The 18,834-nt window shown below is 41.8% G+C and overlaps 1 long non-coding RNA gene across 1 annotated transcript, besides 1 other annotated feature; it reads right to left on the bottom strand.

Annotated features, from left to right (window-relative positions):
• Positions 1–1,744: 1,744 nt before the first annotated feature.
• Positions 1,745–16,888, bottom strand: LOC124904999 (uncharacterized). Its single transcript, XR_007067821.1, has 2 exons — positions 16,825–16,888; positions 1,745–2,138 (listed from the first exon to the last, which is right to left on the bottom strand). It is a non-coding gene; the product is annotated as an uncharacterized LOC124904999 (long non-coding RNA).
• Positions 9,109–10,308: an enhancer, noted in NCBI's record as "MED14-independent group 3 enhancer chr21:19038958-19040157 (GRCh37/hg19 assembly coordinates)". NCBI's record gives its function as "activates an origin of replication core promoter dependent on BRD2, BRD4, P300/CBP and CDK7 cofactors, and independent of MED14, by STARR-seq in HCT116 cells {active_cell/tissue: HCT116}" and the evidence as "EXISTENCE:reporter gene assay evidence [ECO:0000049][PMID:35650434]".
• Positions 16,889–18,834: the final 1,946 nt, after the last annotated feature.

Here is an 18,834-nt window from a genome sequence, read left to right on the forward strand (position 1 = left end):
CTGGTCTCGAACTCCTGAGCTCAAGCAATCCCGCCCCAGCCTCCCAAAGTGCTCAGATTATAGGCATGAGCCACCACACCTGGCCCCAACTTCCAAGTTTTGATGCTGTTGTCTCTTCCCTCATTTTTGGTCCCTATAATTTTATGTTCTGGAAAAAAAAAACTCTTTATCATGTTTTAGTGGGGGTTCAAAACACAAATGAATATGTTCATTTAGCCATCTTTACTCCAGCGTTGGTTTATTTCATATGTGAATCTATATTTATAATCTTTCCAATATAATCACTTAGTCTACTGTTTTTTAAGTTGTCCTTTAAATGGAACATTTACAGTGTTACCCAACTGTTATAATTTAGAATTCATACCTCCAGGAATCATTACAAATCCGTGTAAAATATTTTTGTCTTCTTTTTTTACCAACGCCATCAGCTGATCCCTATAAGCATTTTAAACTTGCACTGATTGAGACTGAATCAGAACATCGTGTCTTCTCACAATGAGCTTTTCAAAATAATTGGATAGGCCTCTCATAACAGGAAAGATTTTGTACAGATTAAAATATAAGGTGAATTCTTGTATCTCTAAGAAAAAAATGGGAAAAACTACACTTTATATTCATACATATATAATTAGCTGTTCAAAATAATTGAATAGGACTCCTATAACTGGATAGATTTTATAAAGACTCCAATATAAGGGAATTCATTTTATTTGTATGAAAAAATGTTCAGGGGAAATGTCATCTTACATTGAAGTATTTATGGTATTTAGGCAAATCTGCACAAAATATAAAGTATTAGTGTGACTTAAATACATAATCATTGCTACTGTGTTTTCTTTTCTCTTCTCCCACTGTAGGGGTGGTCATCAATAATGACTACAGTTGTACATTTTCCTGAGCATAAAGATTCTGATTAGCTATAAAAGTGCCATTGATTGTACCTCCATGTTCACGGGATTGGGCATAAGCCCATTATATTTAAGGGAATATCTGACGAGGGGGATAAGCAGAGTCATAGGAAGAGTAAGCCATTCTAACCTTACAAGGGGCTACATTTTGAAACTTACATTTCAGCTTGTACCTTTTCTGGAATGGTATGATTTATTTCTGCTCCTTGTTTTCTAACTGTAAACTGACTTTTCTTGCAAAATAAAGATGGCGGCTCATCTCTTAAACGCCACGGGTGGACCCAGTCAAGGCCCATGCTTAGAACCTTCAAAGCCCACCAGTCTTCGAGAATGTTTCTTTGGGGAAAAAGTAACCAGAGCTAGCTGCTTTTGCTTGCATGCCCTTTGGGTGCTAAAAATGAGCCTTGGTGTACAGCTCTTCTGTTTTTGCTGGACCTACTGTATGACTTCTGTGTAAATCTTGACAGTTGGCAAATCACGCTTATGTTTGTTTTTCTGTTCAGTGGTTGAAGCTATTGCTGCACCCTCATTGTTCTTTCTTTTCCCTGAATTCCTACCCCACCCAGAATTTGTAACACACAATTTTCTATCTAATTATATAGTGTCGTTTTGTTGCTACTTGCTTCAGGTAGTCCCACTCTCCCTACCTCCTTCCTTCCCGCCTCCATCTAACTAAACCGTGGTGGTTCAGAAGACAAAAGTCAGGCATTGTCTGTCTTTGTAACCCCCACGTGCTGCTTGCAGAGACACTCGGATAATAAGACTCTTGCAGGGAGAAAATTTCCCCTTTGCCCTCTAAAGACTCACTGAAAATCAACAGACAAAAAGCACATTAATAAAAGAAAACGCATACAGAATTTATTTGATGTGCACAGGATGGGAGAATTGCTGGAGAATGATTACCCAATAACCCAGGGTGGTATAGAAGCTTATATATGCTTTTTCCCAGGGGAGGGGAGAGATGAGGAACGTGGAAAATTCTTTTGAGGGGCAGCAAATCATTTGAGAGAATGAATGGACCCAGAAGATGGGAGGCAGACATTTTGGGAAGGTGAGAGGTGGGGCTGCACAGGAATGAAGGTTGACTTATTATGAAGCAAAGTCCTCTAGGTAATCACTTGGAGCTGTCCTCAGAAGGATAGATGAAAATTCTGTTGGGGACATGGTGATGACTCCCAGTCTCTTCTTTTCTCTGGTGGTTGATCCTCCCTGGTTGTTTGATGAGATTCCCTAGAAAAGGGGTTTAAGACAATTACAATTCTTTTGGAAAGAAATTTTCTTGGTCAGATAAGGACATTCCAGAAAGAATCACTCCCTGTGCTTGAGGTGGAGGAACAAGTCAAGGTTAGAAGGACCTTGATTCTGAGGCAGCTTCTAAGTCCTCTCAACATTTCAAAGCACCAGTCTTTGGGGTATCGCTTTCTGAGCCCCAACACTCTCATAGCGAGAGACATGACTATCGCATGTGTTACCATTTATAGTGTACATCCTCTGTCTCAAGTGCTGTGAAAGCACTTCATGTATTATTTCTCATTCTTACATAGATCCTTCAAGGGGAATGACATTTTTACTGCCTTTCCCAGTTGAATCTAAGACTCAGAGAAGGCCAGTAAATTCCATACAGCTAGAAAGCATCAGTCAGGATTTGAAGCCAGGTTGAACCCAGCATTTGAATCCATGCTCTTTCTACACTTGTAGTATACCAACTCCTTTCATTCTCAGAACTCACATAAGGTCTGCATATTACAGATAAGCTTATTCTACAAGCATATTCTAGCAGCATTATTGAATTTTCATCTAGAGCTGTAATGTGGACTACTAACCTAGATAGAATCGAAATCCATCTAGGATGGACTGGATGCTGAGACATATAATGTTAGCTCTGTCCTTTTGGGAATTAGGTGACCAGTTTTCCAAGCAAATGTACTTGTCTCCTTAGGGCCATTGGATCCTGGTGAGAACCTGGGAGAGTCAAGATATCATCAATGAGCAGCCTGGTTCTGAAATTCAGAACCCCTCCTGAGTCTAACAATGGCAGAAAGCTCTTAACTTATTCTTCATTTCCTTCTCTGCATTCCTTACTCCCCAGATTTAAAAACGACACTCTCTCCATGATATAATCATGGGCAAGCACTCTGAGTTGAGTGTCAGAGGTATTTTATTTGTCTTGGGAAGATGTAAATTCCTGGGTGTGTACAGATTCCAGTGGCTTTCCGAGGGAAAGAGCATGCTGCTTTTCTTAAGAAAGGCCACCAATGGGAATGATTTCTGGTGATGCAATGTTGATATTTTAGTACCATTCTAGAAAAGGGAAGAGGTGGGGTTTCTCTGGAGCCAGATTAACTCATAATTAGTTCTCACGCAGCCTGCTTAAGTAATTATGGTGAAACCAAATCACATTACTTTTTTCTCCTGTTCCTGATAAAAGCTTCAACCCCACTCCTTCTGCCCCATAGGGCACTTGGCTGGCCATCATACCCTACACTACAGGCACTATTCTTCAGTTCTGTTTCCAGGCTACAACTGTCACTGTGTAAAATAAGAAGTGTGGGGGAAAAATGTACACCTCTCGGTCTCACTACTTCAGAGGCACCTAGCAACCCTGTCTCCAGGCAGGCAGCACGCATCTCCCTGGTAGTTTACAGCCCACTCACAGCAGAGGCGGCATGCTCTCTGCAAATAGCCTACGTCTTTGCTGGTGCCAGCTTGGCGGTGGGGTGGTGGTGTCATTTGGTGTCCTCAGGGACGTTTGGTTCTTGTTCTGGGAAGACTAGGGCAAAGCAATGACTATTTCACCAAAACTGCCTGAGGGATTAGAAATTAGGTCAAGCAGTTCTGTACTTGGGGTTGCATTGTCTAAAATCAAAAGCAATGGTTTTTAATCTTTGTTTTTCTCCAGTCTTTGGGACATTTCTGTCATAAACCTTCCAGTATGCTTGGGAAGATAGAAAAGGATGTTTATGGTGTGGCGTGGTGGCTCACGCCTCTAATCCCAGCACTTTGGAAGGCCGAGGCGGGCAGATCATCAGGTCAAGAGATCGAGACCATCCTGGCTAACATGGTGAAACCCCGTCTCTACTAAAAATAAAAAAATTAACCAGGCGTGGTGGCGGGCACCTGTAATCCTAGCTACTTAGGAGGCTGAGGCAGGAGAATTGCTTGAACCCAGGAGGCGGAGGTTGCAGTGAGTCACGATCGCACCACTGCACTCCAGCCTGGCGACAGAGTGAGACTTCACCTCAAATAAATAAATAAATAAACAAATAAAGGTTGTTTCTAAAAGGTATATTGGCCAGGCATGGTGACTCATACCTGTAATCCCAGCACTTTGGGAGGCCGAGGCAGGTGGATCACCTGAGGTCAGGAGTTTGAGAACAGCCTGACCAACATGGTGAAAGCCTGTCTCTACTAAAATCCAAAAAGTTAGCCAGGCATGGTGGTGCATGGCTTTAATCCCACCTACTTGGGAGACTAAGGCAGGAGAATCGCTTGAACCTGGGAAGTGGAGGTTGCAGTGAGCCAAGATCACACCATTGCAGTCCAGCCTGGGCAACAAGAGCAAAACTGTCTCTCAAAAATAATAAATAAATAATAAACATAGAAGGTGTATCTATGCAATGAGCAACTCTGCTGGCCACTTTGTCTATCTGTCAGCCCACTAACAATGATACACATCAACCATTCTCACATCCATCCTCTGCTTCTAGAATGTCAGCTGGGCTGAAGAGCATCTTGCACTGGTTTACCAACAAGCCCACATGAACATTCCATTTCAGGCTCAAGTACCACAGGATATTATACATAGATGCTGAGACTTTAAATTAGATTTCTGTACCTGAGGGAATTTGTAAAGAGTCTTTGTTTCTTAACTTCTTGTATTTGACTTCATTTTAAGCTCCCCCCCTGGAAGAAGGGCCTTGGAGAATGAAAGTTGTGTCTCTTTGGGAGGCACACAAAGCTTTTCCTATGTGGTAATTGATTAAAGAATGGAAGAATGCAGGCTTTTAGGAATATAAGGCTTGGGAAACTGAGTCCTGCTGGGTAGAGAGATGATCTCAAGATATCAGGAAAGGGCCGGGCGCGGTGGCTCACGCCTGTAATCCCAGCACTTTGGGAGGCCGAGGCGGGCGGATCACGAGGTCAGGAGACCGAGGCCATCCTGGCTAACACGGTGAAACCCCGTTTCTACTAAAAATACAAAAAATTAGCCGGGCGTGGTGGTGGGCGCCTGTAGTCCCAGCTGCTCAGGAGGCTGAGGCAGGAGAATGGCGTGAACCCGGGAGGCGGAGCTTGCAGTGAGCGGAGATCGCGCCACTGCACTCCAGCCTGGGCGACAGAGCGAGACTCCGTCTCAAAAAAAAAAAAAAAAAAAAAAGATATCAGGAAGGAACAAGGTTTTAACCTGCAAGAGTCATTCACTCATTCACAGAACAGTTATTGAATTCCTACCACGCGCCAGGCCCTCTGCTAGCAAGGGAAACAAATATGAATGACAAGTGTAATCCACAAGCTCATAGTCTACAGGATATTTTAGTAAAAGCAATAATTAGAAACAATGTCAGATTTGTTGTAATGCAAGGAAGTGCATAGCCCTTTGGAATCTCAGACAGTAATGGGAGACCTCTCTAGGGAGATGAAAGGGAGGGAGGAAGAGAGGGCTATATAATTTAATTGTTGATAATAGCCACGTTTAACAATTGGCTGCAAAATTTCTGAAAATTTAACACTCCACTCTCATGAGCTGATAAAAACTGGCTCCACAACACCATGGGATGAAGGTGAAATTGGGAAGTGTAGATATGTCTTGTTGCCATGCTAAGGAGGTTGGACTCATTCCACAAGGCAGGATAATTTGAAATACTAATTAGTGCTTTTATTTTTCTTGTTTTATATATTTTTACTTTCCCTCACCAAAGAAGTTACCTAACTTCTGTTTTTCTTGTCTCAGGGTCTTTTGTGCTGCTGGGCAGAAACCAAATATTTTAAAGAAATAAGGCTGGCATTACCTATCTTCATAGCACCTTGTAGATATGGTAGAGGTGAAGAACGGTAGACAGCATTGTAGGCAAAGACCAGAGGGCCTATTTGTGAATATTCTGGATGAGAGCCCTGTAATTTCAAAAGATCTTTGATAGAAAAGGAAGGAGCACAATAAAAAGACTGAAATTGAATTTCTCACTGGCTGAGTGGAAGAGGGTTGAATATAATTTAACAACTGCAGAGAATTTAAGGGAAGAGAACTTCCTTGCACTCTAGTGTTATAGGGTAAAACTGATACCTGCTAGTCATACACATGTTTTAACCAGAATTATGACCTGATTTTATCTAAATTTTGGAAGGATAACTCTGCCACCTGCATAGAGAAGGAATTGGAAAGGGGAGAACCGGATGAGCTTGTTGCAATCATCTATGATGGTGAGGAGAGTAGCCAGGGTAGTCTAGGAAAAAAAGAGGAGAGGATAGACTCCAGAATATTTCAGAGGATAAATCACAATTGATGTCAATATAACTTTGAGGATTTAAAATATGAGTGGTGTGATTTAGAGGCAAATGCAAGCCCCATGCCTATTTTGGTTATATCTCTATTTTCTGCCTGGCACAAGGCCTGGCAGTTAGCAGGTGCTCAATAAATATATATTGAATGAATGAAAGAGCAAATACATGAGTAAGTCAAATGCACAAACAACTAGGCATGTTTTTATTACATTAAAAGACTAGTCAAAAGAATGAGAAGACAAATCACGGATTAAGAAAAAAATCTTGGCAAAAGACAGATCTGACAAAGGTCTGCTATGCAAAATATACGAAAACCTTTTAACACTCAATAATTAAAAAGCATCCCAATTAAAAAGGAGGCAAAAGACTTGAACAGAGACCTCACCAAAGAAGTTACACAGATGGCAAATAAGCATATGAAGAGATGCTCTAGTTCATATGTCATTAGGGAACTGAAATCAAAGTAACAGTGATGCCTGTCCTCTAGATGCCTAATCACTAGATGCCTGCTAGAATGACCAAAATCCAGAACAGTGACAGCACCAAATGCTTGTGGAAATGAGGAGCAACAAGAACTCTCATTCATTGCTGGTGGGAACGCAGAATGGCACAGTAACTTTGGAAGGCAGGTTGGCAGTTTCTCACAAGGCTATATATACTCTTACCGTATGATCCAACAATCATATTCCTTGATGTTTACCCAAATGAGTTGAAAACTGCTGTCCACACAAAAACCTGCACAGATGTTTTTAGCAGCTTTATTCATAATTGCCAAGACTTGGAAGCAACCAAAATGTCTTTCGGCTGGGTGAATGGATAAACAAACTGTGGCACATCCAGACAATGGAATACTATTCAACATCAAAAAGAAATGAGCTGGCTGGGCACAGTGGCTCATACCTGTAATCCTAGCACTTTGGGAGCTTAAGGAAGAGGATCACTTAATGTTGAGACCAGTCTAGGCAACGTGGTGAAACCCTGTCTCTACAAAAAATGCAAAAATTAACCAGGCATGGTGGTGTGCACCTGTGGTCCCAGCTACTTCAAAGGCTAAGGTGGGAGGATTCCTTGACCCTGGGAGGTGGAGGCTGCAGAGCTATGAAAAGACATGGAGGAAACTGAAATGAAAACTACTAAGTGAAATAGTGAAATAAGCTAATCTGAAAAGGCACACACTGTACAATTCCAAGCCAAAAGTATGGGTATGGTAAAAAGATTGGAGCTTGCTGGAGCTGGAGGAAAGGAAGGGATGAATAGGCAGAGCACATAGGATTTTTAGGGCAGTGAAACTATTCTGTATGATATTATCATGGTGGATACATGTCATCATATACTTGTCAAAACCCATACAATATATAACACCCAGAGTGAATCCTAATGTAAACTATAGACTTTGAGTGATAAACACAATTTATGGGAGGCCATTGTTTTGAGCTAGCGTTCCACATGAGGCTCCAGCAGACCAGACCAAACTAGGATGGAGTCACTTATGTTCCACATTATCAAACGGAACCTTAAAACGGGCCAGTTTAAAAAAATAAAAACAGCCCAGGAGATTCCAGGCAATCTGAGTCAATGAATAAGGGAGTGCCCTCTGTTTCAACCTTACAAAGAAAGTAACTTTGAAACCACCAATACACTTTTTGTTCTCTGTTTCTGATTTCTTCAACATTTTCCTGTCTATAAAGCCAATCTCCTCTGCTCAGCTTATCAGAACACTCATTCTGTTTTATAGAATGTGGTATTGCCTGATTCTAGAATCTCAAATAGAAGCCAGTTAAATTTTTAAACTAGATTTGGGGTAATTTGATCTTTTGACAGTGATGGTGATTTGTTAATGTAGTTCATCAGTTTTAACAAATGTACCACTGTGGGGCAGGATGTTGATTGCGGGGAAGGCTTGTGTGTGTGTGGGTGTGTGTGTGTTGGCAGGTGGGGGAGGTGCATGTGGCAGTTATGGGACCTCTTTGGACATTACGCCCAGTTTTTCTGTGAAACTTAAAGTGCTCTGAAAATAAAAGTCTAGGCCAGCTGCAGTGGCTCACGCCTGTAATCCCAGCACTTTGGGAGGCTGAGGCGGGTGGATCACGAGGTCAGGAGATCGAGACCATCCTGGCTAACACGGTGAAACCTCGTCTCTACTAAAAATACAAAAAATTAGCCGGGCATGGTGGTGTGCACCTGTAATCCCAGCTACTCGGGAGGCTGATGCAGGGGAATCACTTGAACCCAGGAGGTGGAGGTTGCACTGAGCGAAGGTCACACGACTGCACTCCAGTCTGGGCAATAGAGCGAAACTCCATCTCAAAAAAAAAAAAAAAAAAGGCTATTTAAAAGGAAAAAATATGAGTCTCAAAGTGACATGAGAATTTGTGACTCAGTGTCAGAATAGTGGTTATGGAAACTTCACTTCTAAGTCACCTGCAGCTGATATTCTGACCAGTAGACTGCACTTGTGTAAAGATCAATGAACATGATCAGAAAAACAAATGCTAGTGTGGCAGAAGGAAACTGAGATATAACGGATCATTATGAGGTCTGTGTTGAAGAAGAGGGTATGAGAATTTGAACCAAGAGTTCTATGAATGTCAAATGACTTTGGGCTTCATTGGAACTCTCTACTAGTTAGAGGGGGTGAATTTCCTATGCACTAGCTTACCACCGGGCAGTTGTAGCTATTAACATATGACCATGAGATCTACGGAAGAAGGAAAAAGGAAACAACTTTATTTTCTGAGTAACAATTAGCAGATTAGGGAAATGTGCTTTCAAGGAAACCAAAAGCATGCAGAAGGGAAGGAAACAGTGGAATTCAGGTCTTCCAGGGTCTGTCTTACATGCTTATTCATCAGGCTTGGGAAATAGCTATTAATATTTATGGGAAAAGTCAAGCTCATGTCCAGTGAGTTAACATGTATGTAACATACATTCCATGTTCACTTTGGGGTGGGGTTTTATCATTAAAGTGAGGTGGAATTTGACTTTTTACCTCAAAAAGTGAATTATAGGGCACAAAGACATTTGTGCACAGTCTCTGAAAGCTGGCTGGGACCGGATTAGGGTCTGTAGCTGCTTATCAGGAAACAATGTTTGTAAGGCAGGTCTCTTGTAAAATGGGTGCTGCTGGCAGGATCCCTAAGGTGGGGGTCCACCCAAATGAGTCTGGCAATGTTTTCCTAGAACAGGTTTCAGTCTAACTGCAGAAAGAAAACTTTATAGCAGTTAACAAGCCTTTTAGTAGTAATGCAGGATTTTTTGCTCCTTTTCTCGGCTAAAATCCGAGTTCTTGTCTCACAACCAGGAAAAATCAGGTCCACGGACACATTGAAAGGTGAGGAGAGCGGAATTTATTAAAAGAAAGCTCTCAGCAAAAAGAGGGGGTCCTGCCAATAGGCTCCCACCTCACAGACTGAATACCAGGCCACCACACACGAGCTGAAGAAGCCAGACTCTTTCCCCTGATTAGGCAGAATTCCTGGTGGCTCCACCCCATTCCCCCAGTGCTCACGTGAGCCCCCAGTCCACCCAGTCCATTGCAGGCATGCCCAGGCAAGATCCTGGGCAAATTCCCTTATCTGTCTCCTGGATCTATCGGTAGTTAACAATGTACAGGTACATGACCAAACCCTTTTCTCTGTTATGGCCGCTTAATTTTCTCTTGAGGGTCTCAGCCACAGAGAGTTCATCTCATCTGTCAGCTGGGGGTATGTTAATGTTAATATACCAAATGCCATTTCAGACCATATTGTTCTAAGCAAACAAATATTTGCTTGTAAGCAGGCACAACACAATTTTACAGCCTGTGGTGACTTGGAATATTTTCACTTTCAACCCTTGAACATCACCTTCATGAAAGGATTTCTGCATGATGGAGGCAGATAGGTTCTGATCGATGAAAGGGCAGCCCTTTTGGTGAGATCTGATGACAGGATTGTCTGCTAAGAGAAGGAGCACACGGCCACTGGGGCCTTCAATCTAGAAGCTGCCCTTTGGTATGAACAACTGGCCCAGACAGGTATTTATTTATATGTAACTCCTGCAAATATGGAGATGTCTAACTTCCAACAATCACACACAACTTAAACCCCACTAATTTCACCAATGAAAAATTCTAACATGCTAAATAATAAACCTTCTGTATGTTGACTTCATACAAATACTTTTTAATGCCACCTGGCCAATTCTTTTTTTTTTTTTTTTTTTTGTGATGGAGTTTTGCTCTTGTCATCCAGGCTGGAGCGCAGTGACCCGATCTCGGCTCACTGCAACCTTCGCCTCTTGGGTTCAAGTGAGCCTCAGCCTCCCGAGTAGCTGAGATTACAGGCACCTGCCACCACGCCCGGCTACTTTTTGTATTTTTAGTAGAGATGGGGTTTCACCATGTTTCCCAGGCTGCTCTCAAACTCCTGACCTCAGGTAATCTGCCCACCTCAACCTCCCAAAGTGCTGGGATTACAGGCCACGCGCCCGGCCCCACTTGGCCAATTCTTAGGGTGTTAATTCTATTAGGTTACTTCATGTGCTAATCGATCCCTAGGGTACAAATTAGAGTTAATTGCTGCACACAGAGTTCCCAGTGTTTACATACCGTAGTATTGTAAAGTGAATTACAACACACAATGAAATCAAAGGAAACATCAAAAAGAAAATTTTAAGAAGTCCCCAACATCAAAATGACTGTACCTCTGCTTTACATTGTATCAGTTATAGCTGCCTAATAACGGAGATTCAATTGCGCAAGCCACCAATTATTGTGTTGGAGGGCATGAGCATATATGGGGCTTTGCAACATTTTAATAAAACAGTTTGAAATAATTTACTGTCTTGATGGTTGTAGCATCATGGCTCTTTTAGAGATTCCCCATTAACAAAAGGTAGCCCTTTACTTATAATTGCATGTAATTTTTTTTTTCGATTAACAAGAAAAACCGTGAGTACTAGGGATGTCTGGGGAGAGCAGTCAGATATCCCAGGGAGAGGTTGTCATAGAAACTGTGCTGGAGAGCAGCTATACACAGGGTAAAATGCACCCTCCAAAGAAGAGAGGATGGACATTATTGTGAAGCTGCCCTTTCTATCAGTTTCAGAGTGTAAAGCTCTTAATGAATGTCTTTGTGGAAATCATCCTCAGTGATAGCAAGGGTAGGTAGAATAGAAGGATGCTGGGGCTAATGATATATGCCTCAGCTGGGTGCAGTGGCTCATGTCTATAATCCCAGCACTTTGGGAGGCCAAGGCGGGAGGATTACTTGAGGCCAGGAGTTTGAGACCAGCCTGGGTAACAAACATAACAAGACCCCCGTCTACAAAAACAAAAACCTTCATAGGATTGTTATAGAAAATTAAATAGATAACAATCATAAAACACCCACTATGTATAGTCCTTGGAAAATATTAATAGAAATGATAATAATTTTTACATTTATTATCTCATATAATTCTCACTAGAGCAATCTGAGGGAGGCACAGTCATTATTTCCAACTATTTTTGGATACAAAAATTTATTTTCAATCATGTTTGGACATGGGGAAGGAAGAGACATATTCTAGAATTCTATCAGAAGATTAACATCACTTGAGCAACTGCTCAGTCATACCTCTGAGAATAGTAATTTTAAATAAAATAACAACTTTTTTTTTTTTGAGATGGAGTCTCACACTGTTTCCCAGGCTGCAATGGTGCAATCTCAGCTCACTGCAACCTCCGCCTCCCATGTTCAAGCGATTCTCCTACCTCAGCCTCCCGAGTAGCTGGGATTACAGGAGCCTGACACCGCGCCTGGCTAATTTTTTGTACTTTTAGTAGAGACGGGGTTTCACTATGTTGGCCAGGCTGGTCTCGAACTCCTGACCTCGTGATCTGCCCACCTCGGCCTCTCAAAATGCTGGGATTACATGCATAAGGCACCACGCCTAGCCAAAATATTTCCTTTTTTTCAATGAGAAAATGAGGATCAAAGAAGTTGAGTTGCTCAAGGTCACATTGAAAGTAGTAGAGCTGGAACCCAAATGCAAGGTTATCTAGCTCTAGGGCCCATGCCCTTAACGTCTCTGCTGGACTGAACTAGTGGGCAATCAATAACTGGTAATGATTACAAAAATGGTGGTAGAATAATAAATAGTGGAAGTTTTGATTGCCACGCTATATGTATGGCAGAATGTCATAGCATTTGTTGATTTTGTTCATTTCCTAAGTTTATTTTTCCCAATGGACATGGAGGAAAGTGTCATCCTATAGGATGACAACCAAATTGTTCTGTTTTCTCCTCCTGACTCCCTAATGCAGAGCTCCAGGCTGCTCCAACCAATCTATGGCAGATAGCACTTAAGTTAAAACCTGTTGGTCATCCCCACCTAATCTTAGTCCTTCTTCAAAACTCCAGGAAAACCAGGAATTTTCTCTCTCTCTCTCTCTCTCTCCGTCTCCCAAAGGAGCAATTTATAGCTGGAACTTCCTTACCATACTTTCCCCAATGTTTTAAGACCCTATGTTTTGGGCTGAATTGTGTCCCCCTTCTCTCAATTTATATGTTGAAATTTTAACCCTTAGTACCTCAGTATGTGACTGTTTTTGGTGACAGGACTTGTAAAGAGAGGATTAAGGTAAAATGAGGTCATAGGGTTGGACCCTAATCCAATATGACTGCGGTCCTCATTAGAACAGATTAGGACACAGACATACACAAAGGAAATACCATGTGAAGACATTACAAGACAACAGTGTTGGGGCTCAGGACACAATACTGCAAGGTATGGCCCCTTGGCGTGTTGAGTACTTTGAACTGAAAGAGATAGGGAGGGCTCAGAAGCAAGGTCTCTCTGACCTCTTACCTTCCTTTCTCTCTCTCTCCTTTTCCCTCCAAGGCAGGTCACAGAAACTAGAACTCCTCTCCCCAAAGGCAGCTGCAAAACCTAAAAATGTCACTCTCTGACCCTCTCACTTTTCCCTTGAAGGCTTTCATGTGACAGGTGTCCTGACCTGTACCCGGAGAAAGGAATGCTACACAGAGAGGCCAAAAAGAATTTGAACAAACAGGCCTCGCTAAGTTGCCTCCTCAGTTAATTACCATTAGAGCATACCATATTTGTCCAATCACATTTCTATTCTTCATTGAACCTAAGCATAAAAATACATAGGGTTATACAGAAGTTCTCTGGGCCTTCATTCTTTTTTTCTTTCTTCTTTTTTCTTTCTGAGATGGAGTCTCTCTCTGTTGCCTAGGCTGGAGTGCAGTAGCGTGATCTTGGCTCACTGCAACCTCTGCCTCCCAGATTCAAGCAATTCTCTTGCCTCAGCCTCCCAAGTAGCTGAGATTACAGGTGCCCGCCATCACACATGGGTCATTTTCGTATTTTTAGTAGAGATGGGGCTTCACCATGTTGGTCAGGCTGGTCTCAAACTCCTGACCTCAAGTGATCTGCCCACCTCAGCCTCCCAAAGTGCTGGGATTACAGGCGTGAGCCACCACACCCAGCCTGGGTCTTCATTTCTGAAAACTTCCATGTCACATGAAACACTGATTAAATACATGTGTTATACTTTTCTCTTGCTAACCTATCTTTTGTTTAGGAGTGTTGGCTGTGACCCTTGTGATGGGTGAGGAAGAGGTATTATACCTTTTTTGCCCCTGCAACAACCATCTACAAGCCAAGGAGAGAGGGGCCTCCAAAGGAACCAATCATGCTGAAGGCTTATCTTAGACTTCTAGTCTCCAGAACTATAAGGCAATAAAATTGTGTTACTTAAACCCCCCTGTGACACTTTGCTATGGCATCCCTAGAAAATGAATGCACTGCACAGCGGCCTGAGCACCATGGCTCTGTTCAAACCCATGCCACCTTTTCTTCCAGTCCTCTTCACTTTTGACATTCTGTCACTGTGTCGGTTTCCCAGTAGTTAAGCGCCAGGTGTGGAATGAGAACCCATTGTGTAAAATGGCACAGGTCCACACTGCAATTGGCTCTGGGGAGGCTAAGTCCCGGGAAAATTAATCAAGATGTGTACTCTCCTTTGTGTTCCTGTGCCTGACTCCCACTTGCTCATGCTCTCCCAGGGCATGGTGCCTTCCTCAGAGCTAACACAACACTGTGTTCATATCTAGATGAAAGTTCTCACAGGACTGTGACACCATTAATTTTTTTATGTGCCTGTTTGCCACCTCAACCCTATCTCCAGTTAAATTCTGAATTCATAGACACTGAGATTATGGCTATGAATTATTCATTTTGGTATCCCAGCATCTGCTACAATTCTAGTGGTTCAAAAAAGGCATAAATTTATATTTGGATTTTTTGAGTGGATATCTTTTTTTCTGATTTCTTTCTTTCTTCTATACCTCTGTGAAGGGAGTTTTATAATACAGATGTAAGGGAAAGAAATTTTAAATACGTTAAATATGTTGGTCAGGCATGGTGGTTCACGCCTGTAATCCCAGCACTTTGGGAGGCCAAGGTGGAAGGATCACTTGAGCCCTAGGAATTTGAGACCAGCGTGGGCAGACCCTGTCTCTATGAAAAAATTTAAAAATGAGCTGAGTGTGGTGGCACACACCTGTAGTCCCAGCTACTTGGAAGGCTGAGGTGGGAGGATCACTTGAGCTCAGGAGTTGGAGACTGCAGTAAGGCATGATTGTACCACTGCACTCCAGTCTGGGTGACAAGCAAGACTCTGTCTCAAAAATAAACAAACAAATGAATAAATATGTTATGCTATCAGCAGTGGTCAATGTCTTAAGAAAAAGCATTCATGTTTATCTTAAATGCTCTAATCAGAAGATTCTAAAATGTCTAAGCTTCTTCTTAGGGGGGAAAATCCAAGCACAATGAAGGTTGAGCTGTCTAGGAAAAACAGTCCTCAGGACCTCAAGGATCTTACTGCTCCCTCCACCTGCAAGATGGAGCCGAGCCCAAGGAGAGGAGATGGTTCTAAAATAGGTACTTTTCAGCTGGAGCTGGCTTAGAAAGTCACTCTTAATGTCTGATGAAGCTGTAGACAAGGAATTACCCTCAAGTAGTTGAAGCTTCTGTTCCATCGTTCAGGAGATAGGGAGAGAAGGGAGACTGCAGAAGAAAGAGACTCCCCAGTGCCTACCCAAGACAGACTCTGTAAGGACTGTCAGGCAGTGGGTTGGAAAATCAATGCTTTGCCTCTAGACTCCTCTGAACTCTCTTTGTGTGTTTGGATCAGTTACTAGTATGGTTGTTTCTTTTTTGGCAATGAATTGTCTCTAAATCTCCTTGAACTTTTTGGACAGAACAGAGGGACATAGTAATATATTTAGATTGTTATGAACTGTATCTTGCTTGTCATATTGAAACATGGAAACACTACCCTCATCCACTCCTTAGTGAATCTCCTGCTTTATCATGGGATCTGGTTGGAAAGAAAGTATGGTCTTTCTGCCCTTCACCCGTCTCTTCCTAGAGACACTATCCAAGGATGGTCAACTTCTTTGAAAGTCTTAGTAAAAAGCTGGGTCATGAGCTTTGGTTATTTTTAGACAACAATAGGCGATGGATGAAGCAAGTTTGTAACTAGGAATGCGTGGTTTGCACTACTTGGAATGCAGTTTGCCTTCGGGGGTTTGCTGTTTGTAAGACAATTGGCAACACCCCACAGATTTGTGTCAGGAACACCAAAGAATTAGAATCAATCATTTGTGAAGAAGCAGAACAGTCCTCCATTAGACTTTATATATTAATAAAAATGAGCACAAGTGAGGGTCAGATCTGTTCACCAGGTCCCTAATTATAATTCAGAGAGCCAGGGGAAAGAGAAAAAAGTAAAAAAAAAAAAAAAAAAAAAAAGAAGAATGCCTGACGTTTGGGAACACTAAACAGAGACAGAAGATTTTTCTGTCTTTCACGTCAAACATCCAGCCACGTGCTCACTTTTTTTCCTTGAAAGGCATTTAACGTTGTGGGATTATATTTTTCTTCCTGACTCCTAGAAAAATATAAATGTCATCGACGTTTGATCTCATCTAGGTAGTTTGAAGGCTCTTCGTTTGTGGGTAGGAAAGTTAATGCCACAAAATGTACTAAAATTCAAAAACATTCCAACTTTAATGATTCACAGCAAAGTCAGAATGCAGGTCAGATGCTGTATTTCTGATATTTAAAAAATACAAAAAGAATTCTTTGAAAGTATGTTTCCAAAAGACAGTAGACATTTGTACTATTTATCATTCAGCAAGAGCTAAATAGCATAGGAACATGGTTATTCTAAGTTACATTTTGAAAAAAGAGAAACAAAACAATTATTTCTGAAAACAGCAAAAACATCAAGCTTGCTAATTTGAACAGTTTTGACAGTTGACACAAAGGAGAGAAAAGGGCCTTTTATGTGTTGTATAAGGAAGATCTGTTGAAGAAAATTAGCTCCTACAGGAATAGGATTGATAATGTGACATATACTCACTCTGATCTAAATTTAACATCTTCCCACGTTCTCATTGCTCCAATGCCCTTCGAGTTACTATAGTGATCCTACCTTGCCATTCAACATTTAATTCCTAGGTAACAGACAACAACCGTGGCGACCAGGGAAGGAATAGGCAAAAATCTATTTATTAAATATTATCTGGAGTTACTTGCTTGAAAAAACATCTCCCCCACAACCCCAGCAGATTTTGGGCTGAGTTACAACTAAAATATAAATTGTACAAGAAGAACCAAGAAGAATTTTCAGGCTCCAATTTTGAGTTTTAGAATCTTGACATAATGGCACAGACCCCCAAAATAAAGATTCTGAAATAAGCACTTTTCATCTGGAGCTGGCCTGGAAAGTCTCTCTTAATGCTTGATGGAGCTGTAGGCAAGGAAATACCCTCAACTAGTTGCGGCTTCTGTTCCATCCACTGATGTTGTACCATATGCTTATCCTTCCTCTAAAATGGGCAGATACATGATGTGAGAGTTTTTTCTCACAAAATTAGCTTGCATTAGAAACTTCCAAATGAAAGACTCTTCTGACCACTGGAAAAACAGAGTAAGTACTTACTAGGTTCGTGCAAAAGTAATTGAGGTTTTTGCATCACTTTAATGGCAAAACCGCAATTAACTTTTGCATTAAACCTCATACATACATCATGTAAGTATACTTATATACATACTTTAAAAATATCTTCTCAGTAGCCTTCTCTTTCAGCTCTCCAGTAAAAGGGCGTCCAAAGATGGTAGCCTTCTCTTTCAGCTCTCCAATAAAAGGATGTCCAAAAACGCATACCTGAGGAGCACAAAAATACCCCACTATTTCCAGGTATTGGTCCTGTGGCAGGCCAGGTCTCACTAATGCAGTCTTCCATAACACCTGCTTCGGTACTGACTGACTGGCTAAGTTTTAAAAGCCAGTGCCCTTATACAAAGACTGGAATGTAACAAAAGCCCACCAAGAGTTTTGCCTAGGCTTTTCCTGAGCCTTAAAGCATAACAAAATAACGAAGGAATCCTTAACGGGACCCATTTAGGATTAAACAAGTTTTATTGGGAGTCTGAAGAAACTCCCCAGGCTTCACAAAGAAGCTTATTGGGGTTCTGAAGGAACTCCCCAAACCTCCATGATTTAGCAGGAGACAAGATAAGGGTAATCACCCCAGCACCTGGACCCATTTAGATCAAGTAAATTTATTGAGGTTCCAGGGGAAGGTCTCAGGACTCAGACCTTAGTTATAGATTAAAAGAAGTTAATCATGGCCAGGCATGGTGGCTCAAGCCTGTAATCTCAGCACTTTGGGAGGCTGAGGCAGGTGGATTGCCTGAGGTCAGGAGTTCGAGACAGCCTGGCCAACGTGGTGAAACCCCATCTCTACTAAAAATACAAAAATTAGCTGGGTGTGGTGGCAGGTGCCTGTAATCCCAGCTACTCAGGAGGCTGAGCCAGGAGAATCGCTTAGAACCCGGGAGGCAGAGATTGCAGTGAGCCAAGATTTCACCACTGCATTCCTGCCTGGGTGACAGAGTAGTGAGATTCTGCCTCAAAAAAAAAAAAAAAAAAAAAGGAAAAAAAGTTAATCACATGTGTCTTTAGATGAATGCACACTTACATGTAGACATATAGCTTACAAGGTATATAAGCGCTGGAAAACTTTGTGATTTTGAGTTGGTCTGGTGATAATTTCCAGGCCTTCTCCCTGTAAACGGCTGCAGAAATAAAAACTCTCTTTCTCCCCAGTTCATCTGCATCTCGTTATTGGGCCACGAGAAATAGCAGCCTGATAGTCAGTTACATCTGGGAACAGTCCTACAATGCAGTTTTCTGTGTTAGAAATAGCAATAAATCCATTCGAATGCAGGGTCCTGAACTAAGAACCCGTACTTTAAAATCTAACTTTTTCATTGCCATGGAGTGAGCAAAGGGGAACACAAACAAAAAATTAATAAAAGCAGACCAAAAGTACACTAGAAAAGTAGACAGTGAAAAAAGGAAAGG

The sequence above is a fragment of the Homo sapiens genome, chromosome 21, assembly GCF_000001405.40.
Source record: "Homo sapiens chromosome 21, GRCh38.p14 Primary Assembly".
NCBI lineage: Eukaryota > Metazoa > Chordata > Mammalia > Primates > Hominidae > Homo > Homo sapiens.